This window comes from Homo sapiens, chromosome 2, assembly GCF_000001405.40.
Source record: "Homo sapiens chromosome 2, GRCh38.p14 Primary Assembly".
In the NCBI taxonomy this organism is placed as follows: domain Eukaryota; kingdom Metazoa; phylum Chordata; class Mammalia; order Primates; family Hominidae; genus Homo; species Homo sapiens.
The window spans coordinates 61371857-61387968 of record NC_000002.12 but is presented as its reverse complement, the minus strand read 5'-3'; the positions used below and the strand labels follow the sequence as shown (position 1 = coordinate 61387968).

Here is a 16112-nt window from a genome sequence, read left to right as displayed (position 1 = left end):
ATATATATATGTGTGTGTGTGTGTGTGTGTGTGTGTGTGTATAAATATATTTTTACATATGCTTATATATAAAAATATATTTTTACATATGCGTATACGTAAAAATATATATTTTTACATGTGTGTATACGTAAAAATATATTTTTACATGTGTGTATACGTAAAATATATTTTTACATGTGTGTATACGTAAAAATATATTTTACATGTGTGTATACGTAAAAATATATTTTTACATGTGTGTATACGTAAAAATATATTTTTACATGTGTGTATATGTAAAAATATATTTTTACATGTGTGCATATGTAAAATATATATTTTTATATATGTGTGTATATGTAAAAATATATATTTTATATATGTGTGTATATATAAATATATATATTTTATATATGTGTGTATATATAAATATATATATTTTATATATGTGTGTATATATAAATATATATACATACATACATATATATACACTCACACACACACTTTTGTTGTTGTTTTTTTGAGATAGAGTCTTGCTCTGTTGCCCAGGATGTAGTGCAGTGGTGCGATCTTGGCTCACTGCAGTCTCCACCTCCTGGGTTCAAGCGATTCTCCTGCCTCAGCTTTCCAAGTAGCTGGGATTGCAGGAACCTACTACCAAGCCTGGCTAAATTTTTTGTACTTTTAGTAGAGATGGGATTTCACTATGTTTGGCCAGCTTGGTCTCGAACTCCTGACCTCAAAGTGATCTGACTGCCTCAGCCTCCCAAAGTGCTTTGATTACAGGGGTGAGCCACTGCACCTGGCCTGTTATATATTTCTAACGACTAATGAGAATCAGCACCTTTTCATAGGCATATTACTTATTTGGATTTTTTTTGCGAAGTACCTGTTTAAATCTCTCGCCCATTTGCAAAATTGGATTGTCTTTTTCTTGCTGATGTTTAGAATTTCCTTGTGTGTTTTAGATAGACGTCTTTTTAGGTAGAAGTGTTTTGTTTGATATATGTATTGCCAATATCTTCCACTCTCGTGTTGCTTTTCACTGTTGTGTTGAAGAAATATTATTCATCAAGCTTCATGTTGTACAGTTTGTCATTTTTCTTTATGGTTAAGGTTTTCATTTTTGGTTGAAAAAGTCATTTTTAACTCTAAGGCCATGAAGATACTTACAAAGTTTTTTTTGTTTGTTTCTTTTTAGATGGAGTCTCGCTCTGTTGCCAGGCTGGAGTGCAGTGGCTTGATCTCAGCTCACTGCAACATCCACCTCCTGGGTTCAAGCGATTCTCCTGCCTCAGTCTCCTAAGTAGCCGAGACTGCAGGCACTTGCCACCACGCCCAGCTAATTTTTTGTATTTTTAGTATAGATGGGGTTTCACCATGTTGGCCAGGATGGTCTCGATCTCCTGAGCTTGTGATCCATCTGCCTCGGCTCCCCAAAGTGCTGGGATTACAGGTGTGAGCCACCGTGCCCGGCCAAAGTTGTTGTTTTTTTTGAAAAATTTTTTCTTGCTTACCTTGATCAGGAAACAAGTATTATTGCTTTACCTTTCATATTTTGATCTATTCAACTGCAATACATTTTTATTTATAGTTTCAGGAGGGATTAAGATTCATTTTCTTTTTCATACAGATATCCAGTGTTCCTAACACTGTCACAAAGACAGTCATTTCTTCTTTGTTCTGTAGTTCTACTTTTGTTGCACAGGTTAGTGTTGAACTCCTGGCCTGAAGTGGCCTGAAGTGATCCTTCCATCTTGGCCTCCAAAAGTATTGGTTACAGGTGACTCATGCCTCATCACTACAATGAGCCAAATCGGATGTTTTTATGTGCATGGGTTTGGGCTCTTTGGCATAGTATACCATTCTATTTGCCTAATTTTGTGCTGTTTTGCCTACTGACTTAATTACTGAAGCTTTACAAGAAGTCTTGCTCTCTGGGAAAGCAAGTACTACCTCCCTGTCATATTTCTTTTTTTTTTTTTTTTTGGAGACAGAGTCTCACTTTGTCACCTAGGCTGGAGTGCAGTGGGACGATCTCAGCTTACTGCAACCTCCACCTCCTGGGGTTCAAGTGATTCTCCTGTCTCAGCATCCCAAGTAGCTGGGATTACAGGTGCGCGTCACCACACCTGGCTCATTTGTTTTTGTGTTTTCAGTAGAAACAGTTTCACCATGTTGGCCAAGCTGGTCTTGAACTCCTGACCTCAGGTGATCTGCCCACCTCGGCCTCCTGAAGTGCTAGGATTACAGGCCTGAGTCACTGCACCCAGCTTCTCCTTGTCGTATTTCTTTTTTTTTTTTTTTTTTTTTTTGAGACAGAGTCTTGCTTTGTTGCCCAGGCTGGAGTGCAGTGGCATGATCTTGGCTCACTGCAAGCTCCGCCTCCCAGGTTCACGCCATTCTCCTGCCTCAGCCTCCCAAGTAGCTGGGACTACAGGCGCCCGCCACCACGTCCGGCTAAGTTTTTTGTATTTTTAGTAGAGATGGGGTTTCACCATGTTAGCCAGGATGGTCTCGATCTCCTGACCTCGTGATCCGCCCGCCTCGGCCTCCCAAAGTGAGATGTGAGCCACCGCGCCTGGCCTCCTTGTCGTATTTCTTAGAGAGTTTTAGCTATTCTTGGACCTTTGTGCTTTGAATGAGTTTCATAAGTTCTGCATGTAAACCTTTTTGGATTGTACTGAATCTATAGATGAATTTCGGGAGAACTATTATCTTCACAATAAATATGGCAAATGTCTCCTTATTTACATGTTGTTTAATTGATTATTTTCCAACTTTTTATGTAGAGGTGTGTATCTTGTTAGATTACTCCTAGACACATGATATTTTTGATACTGTTCTTAAGGGAATCGTTTTGAAAACTGTATTATTTGTTCTCAGGAACAAATAATAAGAAAAGAACATATATAGGGTGTTGTGTGTATGTATAGATAGGTGTGTGCATATTTGTTTATATTAACCTAGCAGCAGTTTTGCTAAACTCTTTAGTTTCAGTGTTTATCTGATAATTATTTTGGGTTTCCTAATTATATAATTATATTATCTCAGAGTATTATTTTAAATTCTTCTTTCTAGTCCTTTGCCTTTTATTTAGTTTCTTAACTTATATTGTCTAGGTCCTTCAGTTCAAGTGGAATTGAGGCTTCCTTGTCTTGTTCCTAGTCTCAGGAGGCAAAGTTTTTAACATTTCATCATTAACGTAGTATTTACTACAGGGTTTTTATAGACGTCTTTTATTTGATTATAGTGAATCCCTACATTCTGAATTCCCAAATTCATGTATTTTATTTTTTAATTTTTTTTGTTTTGAGACATGGTCTTGCTGTGTTGTCCAGGGTGGAGTACAGTGACGCGATCCTGGCTCACTGAGACTTCCACCTCCTGGGTTCAAGCGAATCTCCCACCTCAACCTCCCAGAGTGCTGGGACTGCAGACATGTGACACCATGCCTGGCTTATTTTTGTATTTTTTTGGTAGAGATGGGGTTTCAGCCATGTTGCCCAGGCTGGTCTTGAACTCCTGACCTCAAGTGATCCACCTGCCACGATCTCCCAGAGTGCTGGGATTATAGGCATGAGCCACCGCGCCTGTCCAGATTTTTTAATTTGTATCTCCTGCCTGTGTCAAGACTCAGTATCAGAGTTTTTTGTTTGATTGGTTGGGTTAGGATTTTTATTCTTACTATTTTTGAAAATAAAACTGTTATATAATGTATTCACATTTGATTTATAAATGTTAAAATATTGTGTAGAAAAAATGAGGAAATATATTTATTGTAACTTTTATTATAACTCAGTCGAGCTGTAAGTTACTTATAGTAAACTTAGTAAGTACTTGTTGATATTGTAATCAGTGTGTGACTGTAAAATATATTTGCTTCAGATACTGAAATGACTAGAAATTATGGGTAATTTGAAATATTTTAGGAAGGAATGATGAGATGATTAGTTAAAAACTAATACGGTTTATTAAAAAACTAATACAGTGCCTTGTATTGGGGATGCTACCGTACAAAGAGGTATAGAGAATTATTTGGTAAGGAAATATTACTTTGAGAGATGGTTTTGTCTTTTCAGCAAGAAGCTAAGATTAATTTTTCAGACAGACTTCATGTAAAATAAGATATATAATATATAGGTTAAATTTCCTGATACATGTGTAATTCTGTTTTGTACTATACTCTTTTCATAATTGATAATATATGTAATTATAGAGGCAGCAGAATACTAAATGATCCTCGTTTTTGTTTTGTTTTTTATTTGAGACGGAGTCTCGCTCCGTTGCCCAGGCTGGAGTGCAGTGGCACAATCTCGGCTCACCACATCCTCTTCCCCCCGCCCCCCCCGGGGGTGGGGGTTCAAGCGATTCTCCTGCCTCAGCCTCTCAAGTAGCTGGGACTACAGGTGCGCGCCACCATGCCCGGCTAATTTTTGTGTTTTTAGTAGATACGGGGTTTTACTGTGTTGGCCAGGCTGATCTCAAACTCCTGACCTTCGGATCTGCCCACCTCAGCCTCCCAAAGTGCTGGGATTACAGGCGTGAGCGACCGTGCCTGGCCAATGCTCTTGTTTTTCATTAGTTTAGTGAAAGATATATGTATTTCACATATTAGGCATTAATGTTGTTTTTATGTTTCTTATATAGATTAGAATATGGCTACATATTCCCGCTGTCATGCAGCACATTATACCTTTTAGGACCTATGTTATTAGGTAAGTTTATAAAATTTCTTTACCCCCGATTATCAGTGTAATATATTTAAACAATTTATAATATAGAATTATATTGTTTGAAAGTCCCCTATAGTCATATCCTCTAGAGAAAATTTCAAGTAACAGTTTGGTATATAGTGTTTTTTATGCACATATATGGATTTATATTTAATGGTTACTTTTTAGTAAATTATGTTGGACTTTTTTTTACATGAGTATGTAAAGAATTAAAGAGATTAATAATGGTTATTCCACTGTATTTAGTCAGCAAATACACAGTAAGTGTCTGTTACGTTCTAGGCACTGAGGATATAGCAGAGAAGAAAACAAATTGCAAAAATCTCTGCTCTTGTGCAGTCTGTTTACAAAAGAAGTAAATGATAATACTACATCAGAAAGTGATAAGTATTATAGGATAAATAGCAGCAAAGGTGGCTTGAGAGTTCTAGGGGGTGGGTTACAGTTTATGGGGACAGGAAAGGTCTCATTGAACGAGAGGTGACATTTGAATTTTATAAGTCTCAACTTAAAAAGGAAGCCTAAGAAGATGGAGAAAGGGTTGTACTGATTAGAATTAAAGTATGAACTGTCAGGATTCTGCATATTTTATTTCTTGATAACATTTATGACAGTATTGTACTTTTTTTCTCATTTGCAAAGGTTTGAGTGTTCCCTTTTTCACAGCACTACTCAACTTTTGGGAGACAGTATCAGGCAAAGAATCAGATAGTGATGAATGCTATGCAAGTAAGTTAGTGTGATACAGAGGGAGTATGGGGCCTTTCTGAAGGGTGATATCTGATGGACGTGAGTCAGCTATTCAAATGATTATTAGAAAGACGTATTGTAGAAGGAACATGTCAGTATAGGCTTTGAAGTTGGCATATGACACAAACTAGAAGCAGATTGGTGTGGAGAATAATGTGTAAGGGGATATAGTTTTGAAGGTGGAGAGATAAGCAGGGGCAGATTATTCAGGACCTTGTAGGCCACTGTAAGGAGTATGGATTTAATTTTTTCAATGGGAGTCTATTGAAGGGTTTTTAGCAGATGTTTCATGATTTTTTAAAAGTTTTATTTGGCTTTTAAATAGATCATAAATATAGGGTGACTGGAATAGAAGCTAGGAGGAGACCAATTGAAAGGTTTATATATTAGTCCTGGAAGGAAAGTGATGATTACTTACAGTAGGATTGTTAATGATGATTTTGAAAATTGGATGAATGTAAGTGAAAATAAAATCAATAATACTGGTCATTATAGGGTATAAAGAAAAGGGTAGCATTGTGGATGTGGATGACATTCAGCACCCCCCCTCCTCAATTTTTTTTATTTGTACTGTGGATATCATTACTGAGATGTGAAAATCTGGGAGAACTTAAAGACAAGACTTTGAGAGGCCTGTGGGACTTAAATGGCACTGGCAAATTGGGAGTATGAACTTGTAGTTCAGAACAGTTTTCATTAATGTAAGAGTTGTGAGTGTAAAGATGGTATTTAAAAACCATAGGAGTCACCTGAGGAGAGCATACAGGAAAAGAGTAGAGGTGAGTCTAAGATAGAGCTCTGTATGGGTTGGTTTTGCTGTGTAAGAAAACATCCCTCAAAACTTAGTGGCTTACAACAATAGCCAGCCAGGCATGGTGGCTCATGCCTGTAATCCCAGCACTTTTGGGAGGCCGAGGCGGGAGGATCACCTGAGCCCAGGAGTTCAAGACCAGTCTGGGCAACATAGCGAGACTCCATCTCTGTGCAGAAGAAAATTAGGTGGTCGTGGTGGCATGCTTCTATAGTCCCAGCTACCAGGGAAGCTGAGGTGGAAGGATCACTTGAGCCCAGGAGGTCGAGGCTGCAGTGAGCTCTGATTGAGCAATTGCACTCCAGCGTGAGTGACAAAGCAAGACTTTGTTTTATAAAAAAAGAAAAAATGAAACAACAGCCATTTATCATTTCTCACAGTTCTCTGGTTAGCTAGGTAGTTTTGTGTGTGTGTGTGTGTGTGTTTTATTTTTTTTTAGTTTTACATTTTTTGTTTATTTTTTATTTATTTATTTTTTTTTTTTTTATTGATCATTCTTGGGTGTTTCTTGCAGAGGGGGATTTGGCAGGGTCATAGGACAATAGTGGAGGGAAGGTCAGCAGATAAACAAGTGAACAAAGGTCTCTGGTTTTCCTAGGCAGAGGATCCTGCAGCCTTCCGCAGTGTTTGTGTCCCTGGGTACTTGAGATTAGGGAGTGGTGATGACTCTTAACGAGCATGCTAGCTAGGTAGTTTTGTTGATCTGTATTGACTTGGCTGAAACTGGATGGTCTAGGTTAGCCTTGTTCCCACATTCTGTGATTGCCATGCCGATTGGTCTTGTGGGGTGAGCGGGAATCTCATATATGTCTTGTAGTTGGCTTCATGTCAGTTGGAGCATCAGGCACTTCTCTTTCATCCAGCAGGCTAACCTTGGTTCCTTGTTTTGTTGGTGATTAGAGTTCCCAGCAAGAGAAGGCAAGCTCAAAGGCTTTTCTAGCTTCCACTTATGTCATGTCTATTAATATCTCATTGGCCAAAGCAAGTTACATGGCAAGGCCCAGATTTAAGGTGTAGAAATAGATTACACCTTTTGATGAGAGGAATAGCAAAGTCACATTGCAAATTCTTGTACATATAATGATGGGAGGAATTTGTGGCCATTTTGTAATCCATTACAGGCCTTGAGGAAGACTAATGTTGAAAGGTTGGACAGCAGAGAAGGAATCTGCCAAAGAGATTAGGCAGGGCCTGAGAGGAAAACCAGAGGTTTGTGGGTTTTGGACACAAAAAATGTTAATGCTTACAATGTACATTTTAAGTTACTGAGTGGTCTTTAAAAATGCTTTATGAATTTTTGTGTATTTTCTATTTCTGAATCATTTCAGGTATTTATGCAAGCTCTCGGATCAGGAGTTACGACAGAGTGCAGCTCGTAACATGGCTGACTTAATGTGGAGCACAGTCAAAGAACCATTGGATACAACATTATGCTTTGATAAAGAAAGCCTAGATCTTGCATTTAAGTACTTTATGTCACCTACTTTGACTATGAGGTTGGCTGGATTGAGTCAGATAACAGTAAGCTGTATTTGTTTTATTTTTGGTCATCGTTTATTTGTTTTCTGGTCTATCATAATACTACCCACTATTTATGGAGCACTTCATACTAGGCATTGTGCTAAGTATTTTATGTGGATTACTTTATATGGTCTTCACAAATAATTTCTGTGTTTCTCTTATTTTAAATAAGTCTGAAGCTTAGATTTATATGGATTTATACTGTGGGTCCATTTGATTTCCGGGTCCAACTCTTTCATCATTTTGTTTCTGTCTTTTTAAACTATTTAGGTTTTTATGTTTATAGATGTTTTGAGAAAGAGGAATAATTGGAGGGCTTTATAAGCAGTTAATTAATTTTCCAGGCAGAAACCATAGATTATTGGGCCGTAGGCCAAATTTTACTAAATGTTTGTTTTGAATAGTCTTAAATACTGTTTTTAAATAGGACAAAGTAACATGAAAATCTGTATTCTTGGCTTCTCTTGGTGAGGGGGTTGGAAGAAGGCCTGGTATTCTTGGGTCTGTATTCTTGCATAACAACAGTCTGTTAGAACTAAGTAATTAACTTTATCCCTCAGAATGAATATGCTTTCTCCGGTTTGTTGCAGTCCCCATTTGCTTTACTCCTTTACATTTCTGGGTTTTTGTTTTGTTTTGTTTTGTTTTTTGGTTTTTCTTGGAGATGGAGTCCCATTCTGTTGTGCAATGGCATGATCTCGGCTTACTGCAACCTCCACCTCCTGGGTTCAAGCGATGCTCTTGCCTCAGCCTCCTGAGTAGCAGGGACTACAGGTGTGCGCCACAACACCCAGCTAATTTTTTGCATTTTTAGTAGAGATGGGTTTTTACCGTGTTGGCCAGGCTGGTCTGGAATTCCTGACCTCAGGTGATCCACCCGCCTCATCCTCCCAAAGTGTTGGGATTACAGGCGTGAGCCACCCCACCTGGCCACATTACTGTTTTTGTTTTGTTTTGTTTTGGTAGTGTAGTCACACTGAAAATGTGAAATAGGTGGAGTTTACTTGTGTACCGGGTTTCATAAATATAAAAGATACTTGTTGATATTGTCCCAGATAAATTAAATCTTGAGTGGATTTATCTGGGGAGTCTTTCCTGAAACTTTGTCTATAATGACATATTACTTGCTCTCTTGCGTTAAATTGTTGTGTTTTTTTACTTACTCAGCTTTATTTTCTCCAGTGCACTTAGTGTAATAAAGAATACTATTTGTGGAATGAATTTAGTGTTGTTTTTTTTTTTTTTTTTTTTTTTTCGTTTTTTTGAGATGGACTCTCACTCTGTCGCCCAGGCTGGAGTGCAGTGGCGCGATCTTGGCTCACTGCAACCTCTGCCTCCTGGGTTCAAGTGATTTTCGTGCCTCAGCCTCTGAGTAGCTCGCGTTTTAGGCGCATGCCACCATACCCAGCTAATTTTGTATTTTTAATAGAGATGGAGATTTACTGTGTTGGTAAGGCTGGTCTCAGAGCTCCTGACCTCAGGTGATCCACCTGCCTTGGCCTCCTAAAGTGCTGGGATTACAGGTGTGAGCCGCTGCGCCTGGCCATTATTTAGTATTTTAATATAACAGAAATAGTTTTAGTAATTGGGAAGCGTGTGTCTCTGATTATGTCTTAGATTTTATAATATTAATCTAGTTATTGTGATCTACATATGTCAATCAGTTTACCATGTTAGTATTTGCTGACAAATGCAAGAATAATTTTGGAAATAAAAACCCTTAATTTCTTGTCTTTAATCATAGAATCAACTCCATACCTTCAATGATGTGTGCAATAATGAATCATTAGTATCGGACACAGAAACGTAAGTAGGAGCATTAATTTATATATAAGTATACCATTTTAATGTACAGTTGTTTATATGGTAAATTCTAATTTTTAGATTTAAAATTTTTACTAGAAATTCTTTGCCCTTTGACATTGTGTACAGTTCTTCATGAAGCTTTCAGAACATTATGCTGTCTGTAACATAACTCACTCTCCCTCTTTTTTTTGAGACAGGGTCTTGCTCTGTTGCCCAGGGTGGAGTACAGTGGTGGGACCATGGCTCACTACAGCCTCAAGTTCCCAGGGTCAGGTGATCCTCCCACCTCAGCCTCCCGGATAGCTGGGACCATAGGCGCATGCCAGCATGCCTGGCTAATTTTTGTGATATTTGCAGAGGCAGAGTTTTGCCATGTTGCTCAGTCTAGTCTTGTAGACTCAAGCCATCCACTTGCCTCAGTCTCCCAAAGTGTTGGGATTACAGGCGTGAGCCACTGTGTCTGGCCACATTTCTCTCTTTTAAAAGCGTATGCGAACATATAGTACTATTTGTCACAGTATGAAAGCATACTGTTTATACTGGAGAATTTAGTCTTGAAAAATATGGTACTGATAGTTTTCAGAAAGTACACTGTCTTAGTCCAGGCTGCTGTAACAAAGTACTGTAGATTGGATGACTTATAAACAACAGAAATTTATTTCCCATAGTTCTGGAGGCTGGAAGTCCGAGATCAGGTTGTTGGCAGCATCGTCAAGTTCTGGTGGGGTCCTTCTTCTGGACTGTAGATGGCCATTTTCTTTTATTTTCGCATGGTGGAAAGAGGTAGAGAGGTCTCTGGGGTCCCTTTTATTAGGCCACTAATCCCATTCATGAAGGCTCCACCTTCATGACCTAATTATCTCCCAAAGGCCCCATTTCCAATAACATCACATTGGGAGTTAAAAAAGTAGTTTTTATAGCTTAAACTTCTTTGGTTCTGAGAAATATATGTATTCCATTTAATTGTTCATCTAGTATAGAAATCAGTTTTAAAAATCTCAAACAGTAGGATAGAATATTTTCTGGAACAGAGTTGGATTGGTTTGTTAGAAAATTCTTGATTATACATGTGAGTCATACTTTAGTGTAACTTGATGTTACTACTGCTCTAAGGCGCTAATCCCAGTTGAACCTAGGTCTTCATGAATTTGGAAACCAGAGACTGTCTCTTGACTCTTTTTTCCCTTCAGGCTAAAGAGTTCTTATTCTCCCAGTTGTTCTTTATGTGGTATGGTTTTTGGATTTATCACTATATGAGTTATTCATCTCTGGCAATATTCTTTGTCAGTGATCCCCTTAAAGTGTGTTGCCTAGAATTTTTCATTGCTTTATAAATTCTGGATTATATTAGAAGTGTTGTTTCACACTGTCAAGACATTATGTAGACGATATCCAGTGTATTTATAAAGCTACAGCTCTGTGCCAGGCACAGTGGCTCACGCCTGTATCCCAGCACTTTGGGAGGCTGAGGCGGGCAGATCACTTGAGGCCAGGAGTTCAAGGCCAGCCTGGCCAACATGGTGAAATTCCATCTCTACTGTAAATACAAAAATTAGGTGTGGTGGCGCATGCCTGTGATTCCAGCTATTTGGGTAGCTGAGGCACGAGAATCACTTAAACCCGGAGACAGAGATTGCAGTGACCCGAGATGGTGCCATTTTCACTCCAACCTGGGCGACAGAGCAAGAGTATGTCTCAGAAAAAAACCAAAACAAACAAAATAAACCTACAGCTCTGGATTTTCATTTTCATCCTGTGTCCCCTCACCCCTCCACCTCCGCGAGACCGCTTAAAGAGAACCTTATGTAATTGCTAATGTGATATTCATACTCCTCTCATCCCCTGTGAAAAGGACAAAAATTGGGAATGTTCACTGCAGTAATAACACATTCAGGCTAGGTGTTGTGTGAAAACAGTGAATGGGGGAATAAGAAGGAATTCCAATAACAAATGCAAGGAATATACATCCCAAAGACATGTTTAAGAGAATAGGGAGGAGAACAAAAGTATTGAGGACTGGTGGTAAAGAGTTCAAGATGGCAAGGGAGAGTATGTGTACAGTGTGAGAAAATTGGAGTAAACAGAAAAAGCATGTGATAAATATTGTTGGCGGCTGTGAATTGGGTATTTTTAAGCAGTTTTATTAACATATAAATACATATAAAATTCACTTTTTAAAATATACAAGTCAATGAATTTTATAATAGTAAATTCTTAGAGTTGTGCAGCTGTCACCACAGTCCAATTCTAGAACATTTCCATCACTTAAAAAAGATGTCTTTTGCCCATTTGTAGCCAGTACCTATTATTTCCAGCCTCACTAATCTACTTTCTGTCTCTGTAGATTTACCCATTTTGAGATATTTCATTTAAAAGGAATCAAATGATAGTAGTCATTTTCTTCTGGCTTCTTTTCATTTAGTATACTCTTGTTCGTTTGTTTGAGGTTCATTGAGATTGTAGTTTGTCTCTGTACTTTATTCCTTTTTATTGCTTAATAGTATCACATTGTATAGATATACCACACTTGATCAAGTACCAGTTGATGGATATTTGGATTGTTTCTACTTTTTTTTTTTTTTTTTTTTTTTTTTGAGACAGAGTCTTGGTCTGTCACCCAGGCTGGAGTGCAGTGGCGCGATCTTGGCTCACTGCAAGCTCCGCCTCCCAGATTCACGCCATTCTCCTGCTTCAGCCTCCCGAGTAGCTGGGACTACAGGCACCCGCCACCACTTCCGGCTAATTTTTTGTATTTTTAGTAGAGACGGGGTTTCACTGTGTTAGCCAGGATGGACTCGATCTCCTGACCTCGTGATCCGCCTGCCTTGGCCTCCCAAAGTGCTGGGATTACAGGCGTGAGCCACCGCGCCCCGCCTGTTTCTACTTTTTGATTAATATAAATAATGCCATTATAAACATTTATGTAAAGTCCTTTTGTGATCATATGTTTTCATTTTTCATGGTAGATACTTAGGATTAGAATTGTTGCTTATATGATTAGTTTACCTTTAACTTTCATTGGAGCTGTCAAACTGTTTTCCAGTATACCTGCATTATTTTACATCCCCACTAGCATTGTAGGAGGTTTCCAGTTTCTCCCTATTCTTGCCAGCAGTTGTTATTATCTAGATTTATTATTGCCATTTAGGGGGTGTAAAGTAGCATTTCATCATGGTTTTAATTTGCATTTCCCTAATTATTAATGATGTAGAGCAGCTTTTTATGTGGTTATTTGCCATAATGTTTCTTCATTCACAATATTGTCCAGTTTTTAATTGGATTCTTGGTTGTGTTTTATGGCTTAATGTGGTCTGTACTACAGACTGTTCTGTGTGTGCCTAAGAAGACTGTACATTCTGCTGTTGTCGTATGGGGTATTCTGTGGGGTGTTCTATAGATGTCTATTAGGTCAAATTGGTTTGTAGTGTTGTTGTCTGTTTCCTATATTCTTGTTGCATTTTCTGCCTAGTTCTTCTCTATTATTGAAAGTAGGAGACTGAGTGCAGTGGCTCATGCCTGTAATCCCAGCACTTTGGGAGGCCGAAGCTGGTGGATCACCTGAGGTCAGGAGTTCAAGACTAGCCTGGGCAACATGGCGAAACCCCGTCTCTACTAAAAATACAAAAATTAGCTGGGCCTGGTGGTGAATCACTTGAACCTGAGAGGTGGAGTTTGCAGTGAGCCGAAGTTGCGCCACTGCACTTCGGCCTGGGCAACAGAGCAAGTAGTCTCTCAAAAAAAAAAAAGTATTGAAGTCTCCAGATACATTTGATCCTGAGTGTGTGCAGATTTGGTCATCTCTGTATGAGCTCTGAAGCAAGATGAGAGTGCCACCTTGTTTGACTTTAGGTGGGAATGTGCATATTGGAAAATTCTAATCTTTCACTGCTATGTGCATGTCTGTGAGTGCCTATGAAAATGCCACAAGTACTGATTTTGGAGTTACAAATAAAATGCAGCAAATGGATGAGTTAACAAATATAGAAACCATGGAAGAGAAGAAAAAATATTTTTCTTCACAAATATGGAATATGGAGATGGAGGTGCTGAGGGGCAGTGTGGTGGAGTGTAAGAAGTCCTGGCGCCACTTGGATGCGGTTTGAATCCCAACCCTAACACTTGTTTAGGCATAAGGGTTGGCCTCAGGCAAGGCATCTAAACACTTCTGAACCTCATTTTCTCTGTTTTTTTTTTTTTTTTTTTCCCTGAGATGGAGTCTCGCTCTATTGCCCAGGCTGAAGTGCAATGGCACGATCTCGGCTCACTGCAACCTCTGTCTCCTGGCTTCAAGCGATTGTGCTGCCTCAGCCTCCTGAGTAACTGGGATTATAGGCACCTGCCACCACGCCTGGCTAATTTTTGTATTTTTCATTAGAGACAGGGTTTCACCATGTTGGTCGGGCTGGTCTTAAGCTCCTGACCTCAAGCAGTCCACCCGTCTTGGCCTCCCAAAGTGCTGGGATTACAGGTGTGAGCCACCGTACTTGGCCACGCCATTTTCTCTTTTGTAAAATAGAGAAAATAGAGTCAACCAGTATGAGAGGTTTTTCAGATTCAAGATCTGTGTATGATATCTATATTATGTACATATTTCCTGTAGGGCCAAGGGTTCAGTATTAGCTAATTCAGTGTTTGCAGTGACTCTGTAGAATATAACTAATGCGAGTAACAAGAATCAGCTGTATTGTTGAATTGTGTGTTTCTCCTTTTAATTCTGTCATCAGTTTTTGCTTCATGTATTTCAGGAATTCTTTTGTTAGGTCCATATGTATTCCTGGTAACTTGATCCTTTTTTTCGTTTTAAATGTCCTTTGTCTCTTTCAGACATTTTTTGGCTTAGTCTATTTTATTTGTTATTGGTATAACCACTGAACCTTTCTTAAGCTTATTGTTGGCATGGCTTATCTTTTTCCATTCTTTTATTTTCAGTCTGCTTGTTTTGAAGCTAAAGTATGTCTTGGGGGTAGCATATAGTTGGATCTTTAAAAAAAAAAACTAGTCATATAATCTCTGCCTTGATTAGAGTTCTTAATTCACTAATAATTTTATATAGCTTGTTTTACATCTCATTTTGCTGTTGGTTTTCTGTGTATCTCATATCTTGTTTCTCTATTTCTCCTTTACTATCTATTTTTATAGTATATATATATAGATTCTAGTGTGACATTTTAATTGCATTGATTTAAAAAATATCTTAATTTTCTTAGCGATTTTATGGGTTAAATATGCATTCAACTTCTTGACATTCATACTGATTTAACTCTAATAAAATAAGATAAAAAACATGGCTCCTACGTAGCTCCATTACTGTTTGGGATAAGAAGTTAGCTATTAATCTTATTCTGGTTCCCTTGTGTATGCTTAGTTGTTTTTCTCTTACTCCTTTAAATCATTTGACTACAATATGTGTAGATGTGGATTTCTTTGTGTTTATCCTGGAGTTTGTTCTACTTCTTGGTTGTGTAGATGAATGTGTTTCATCAACTTTGGGAAGTTTGGGGTATTGAAATATTTTTTCTGGCACCTCTTCCCACTTTGACCCCCATTGCATGTATGTTTTCAGACCTCCGAATAGTGGTTATTAATGGTACTGTCCAATTTTATAGTTGCATCATTATTACGAAAGTCCCTGGGTCTCCCCTTTAAATTTTTGAGACAGTGTCTTGCTCTGTTGCCCAAGCTGGAGTGCAGCAACAGCACGATTATGCCTTACTACAGCTCTGACCTGGACTCAAATGATCCTCCCACCTCAACCTCCTTAGTAAGTGAGACCACAGGCATGAGCCACCATGCCTGGCGGAAACAGGCTTTCATTACGTTGCCCAGCCTGGCCTGGAACTCCTAGGCTCAAGCAGTCCCCTCGACCTCAGTCTCCCAAAGTGCTAGGATTACAGGTGTGAACCACAGCACCAGCCTGGGTCTTCTATTAATGTCCTTTAATAGACTTAAATAATAGTGGAATTTTTTTTAGAAATGAATTTTGTTTCTTGAACTATTATGTAAATCAGAGGGTTGAATTTTATGTATCGTAACTTCAGTAGGGCTACTCAGAAATAGGTAAAATATACCTAGTTTTATTTTTAATGTTTTACCCTTTGAGGTCCATATGTGTAAGTCCTAGTGGTTTTTTTTTAATAAATAAAAATTGTTAGCATAAAATTCTATTATAGAATGTAAATTCTTCATTGGATATGCAATAAGAAAGTAAATTACTTAATCTTTCCAGTTTATCTGTATATAATATAGTTGAAAAAATTGGGGACCTTTTATTATACAATTTATTTTGAAACTTATTTTCTTCCACCCATTTTATAATATAGTCATATGGTACTTAATGACAGGGATACATTCTGAGAAATGCATCATGAGGTGACTTCATTGTACAAAGTTACACAAACCTAGGTGGTATAACCTGTTGCTGCTTGACTCCAAGCCTGTACAGCATCTTACTGTACTTAATTCTGTGGGCATTTGTAACACTTTGTAAATATTTGTGTATCTAAACA

The 16112-nt window shown here is 38.3% G+C and overlaps 1 protein-coding gene across 1 annotated transcript in view, besides 2 other annotated features; it reads left to right on the top strand.

Moving 5' to 3' along the window:
- Positions 1-16112, top strand: part of USP34 (ubiquitin specific peptidase 34) — a 283625-nt gene that overhangs the window by 83119 nt on the left and 184394 nt on the right. The window contains exons 6-8 of the mRNA NM_014709.4: positions 4633-4700; positions 7608-7800; positions 9545-9606. Of these exons, the coding sequence (NP_055524.3) occupies positions 4633-4700; positions 7608-7800; positions 9545-9606 (323 nt within the window). The remainder of the gene's footprint in view (positions 1-4632; positions 4701-7607; positions 7801-9544; positions 9607-16112) is intronic.
- Positions 6721-7222: an enhancer, noted in NCBI's record as "NANOG hESC enhancer chr2:61607882-61608383 (GRCh37/hg19 assembly coordinates)". NCBI's record gives its function as "activates a minimal SCP1, AML or CMV promoter by ChIP-STARR-seq in naive H9 embryonic stem cells {active_cell/tissue: H9 hESC(naive)}" and the evidence as "EXISTENCE:reporter gene assay evidence [ECO:0000049][PMID:30033119]".
- Positions 6929-7129: a silencer, noted in NCBI's record as "peak3714 fragment used in MPRA reporter construct". NCBI's record gives its function as "represses an SCP1 promoter by STARR-seq MPRAs in K562 erythroleukemia cells {active_cell/tissue: K562}" and the evidence as "EXISTENCE:reporter gene assay evidence [ECO:0000049][PMID:32103011]".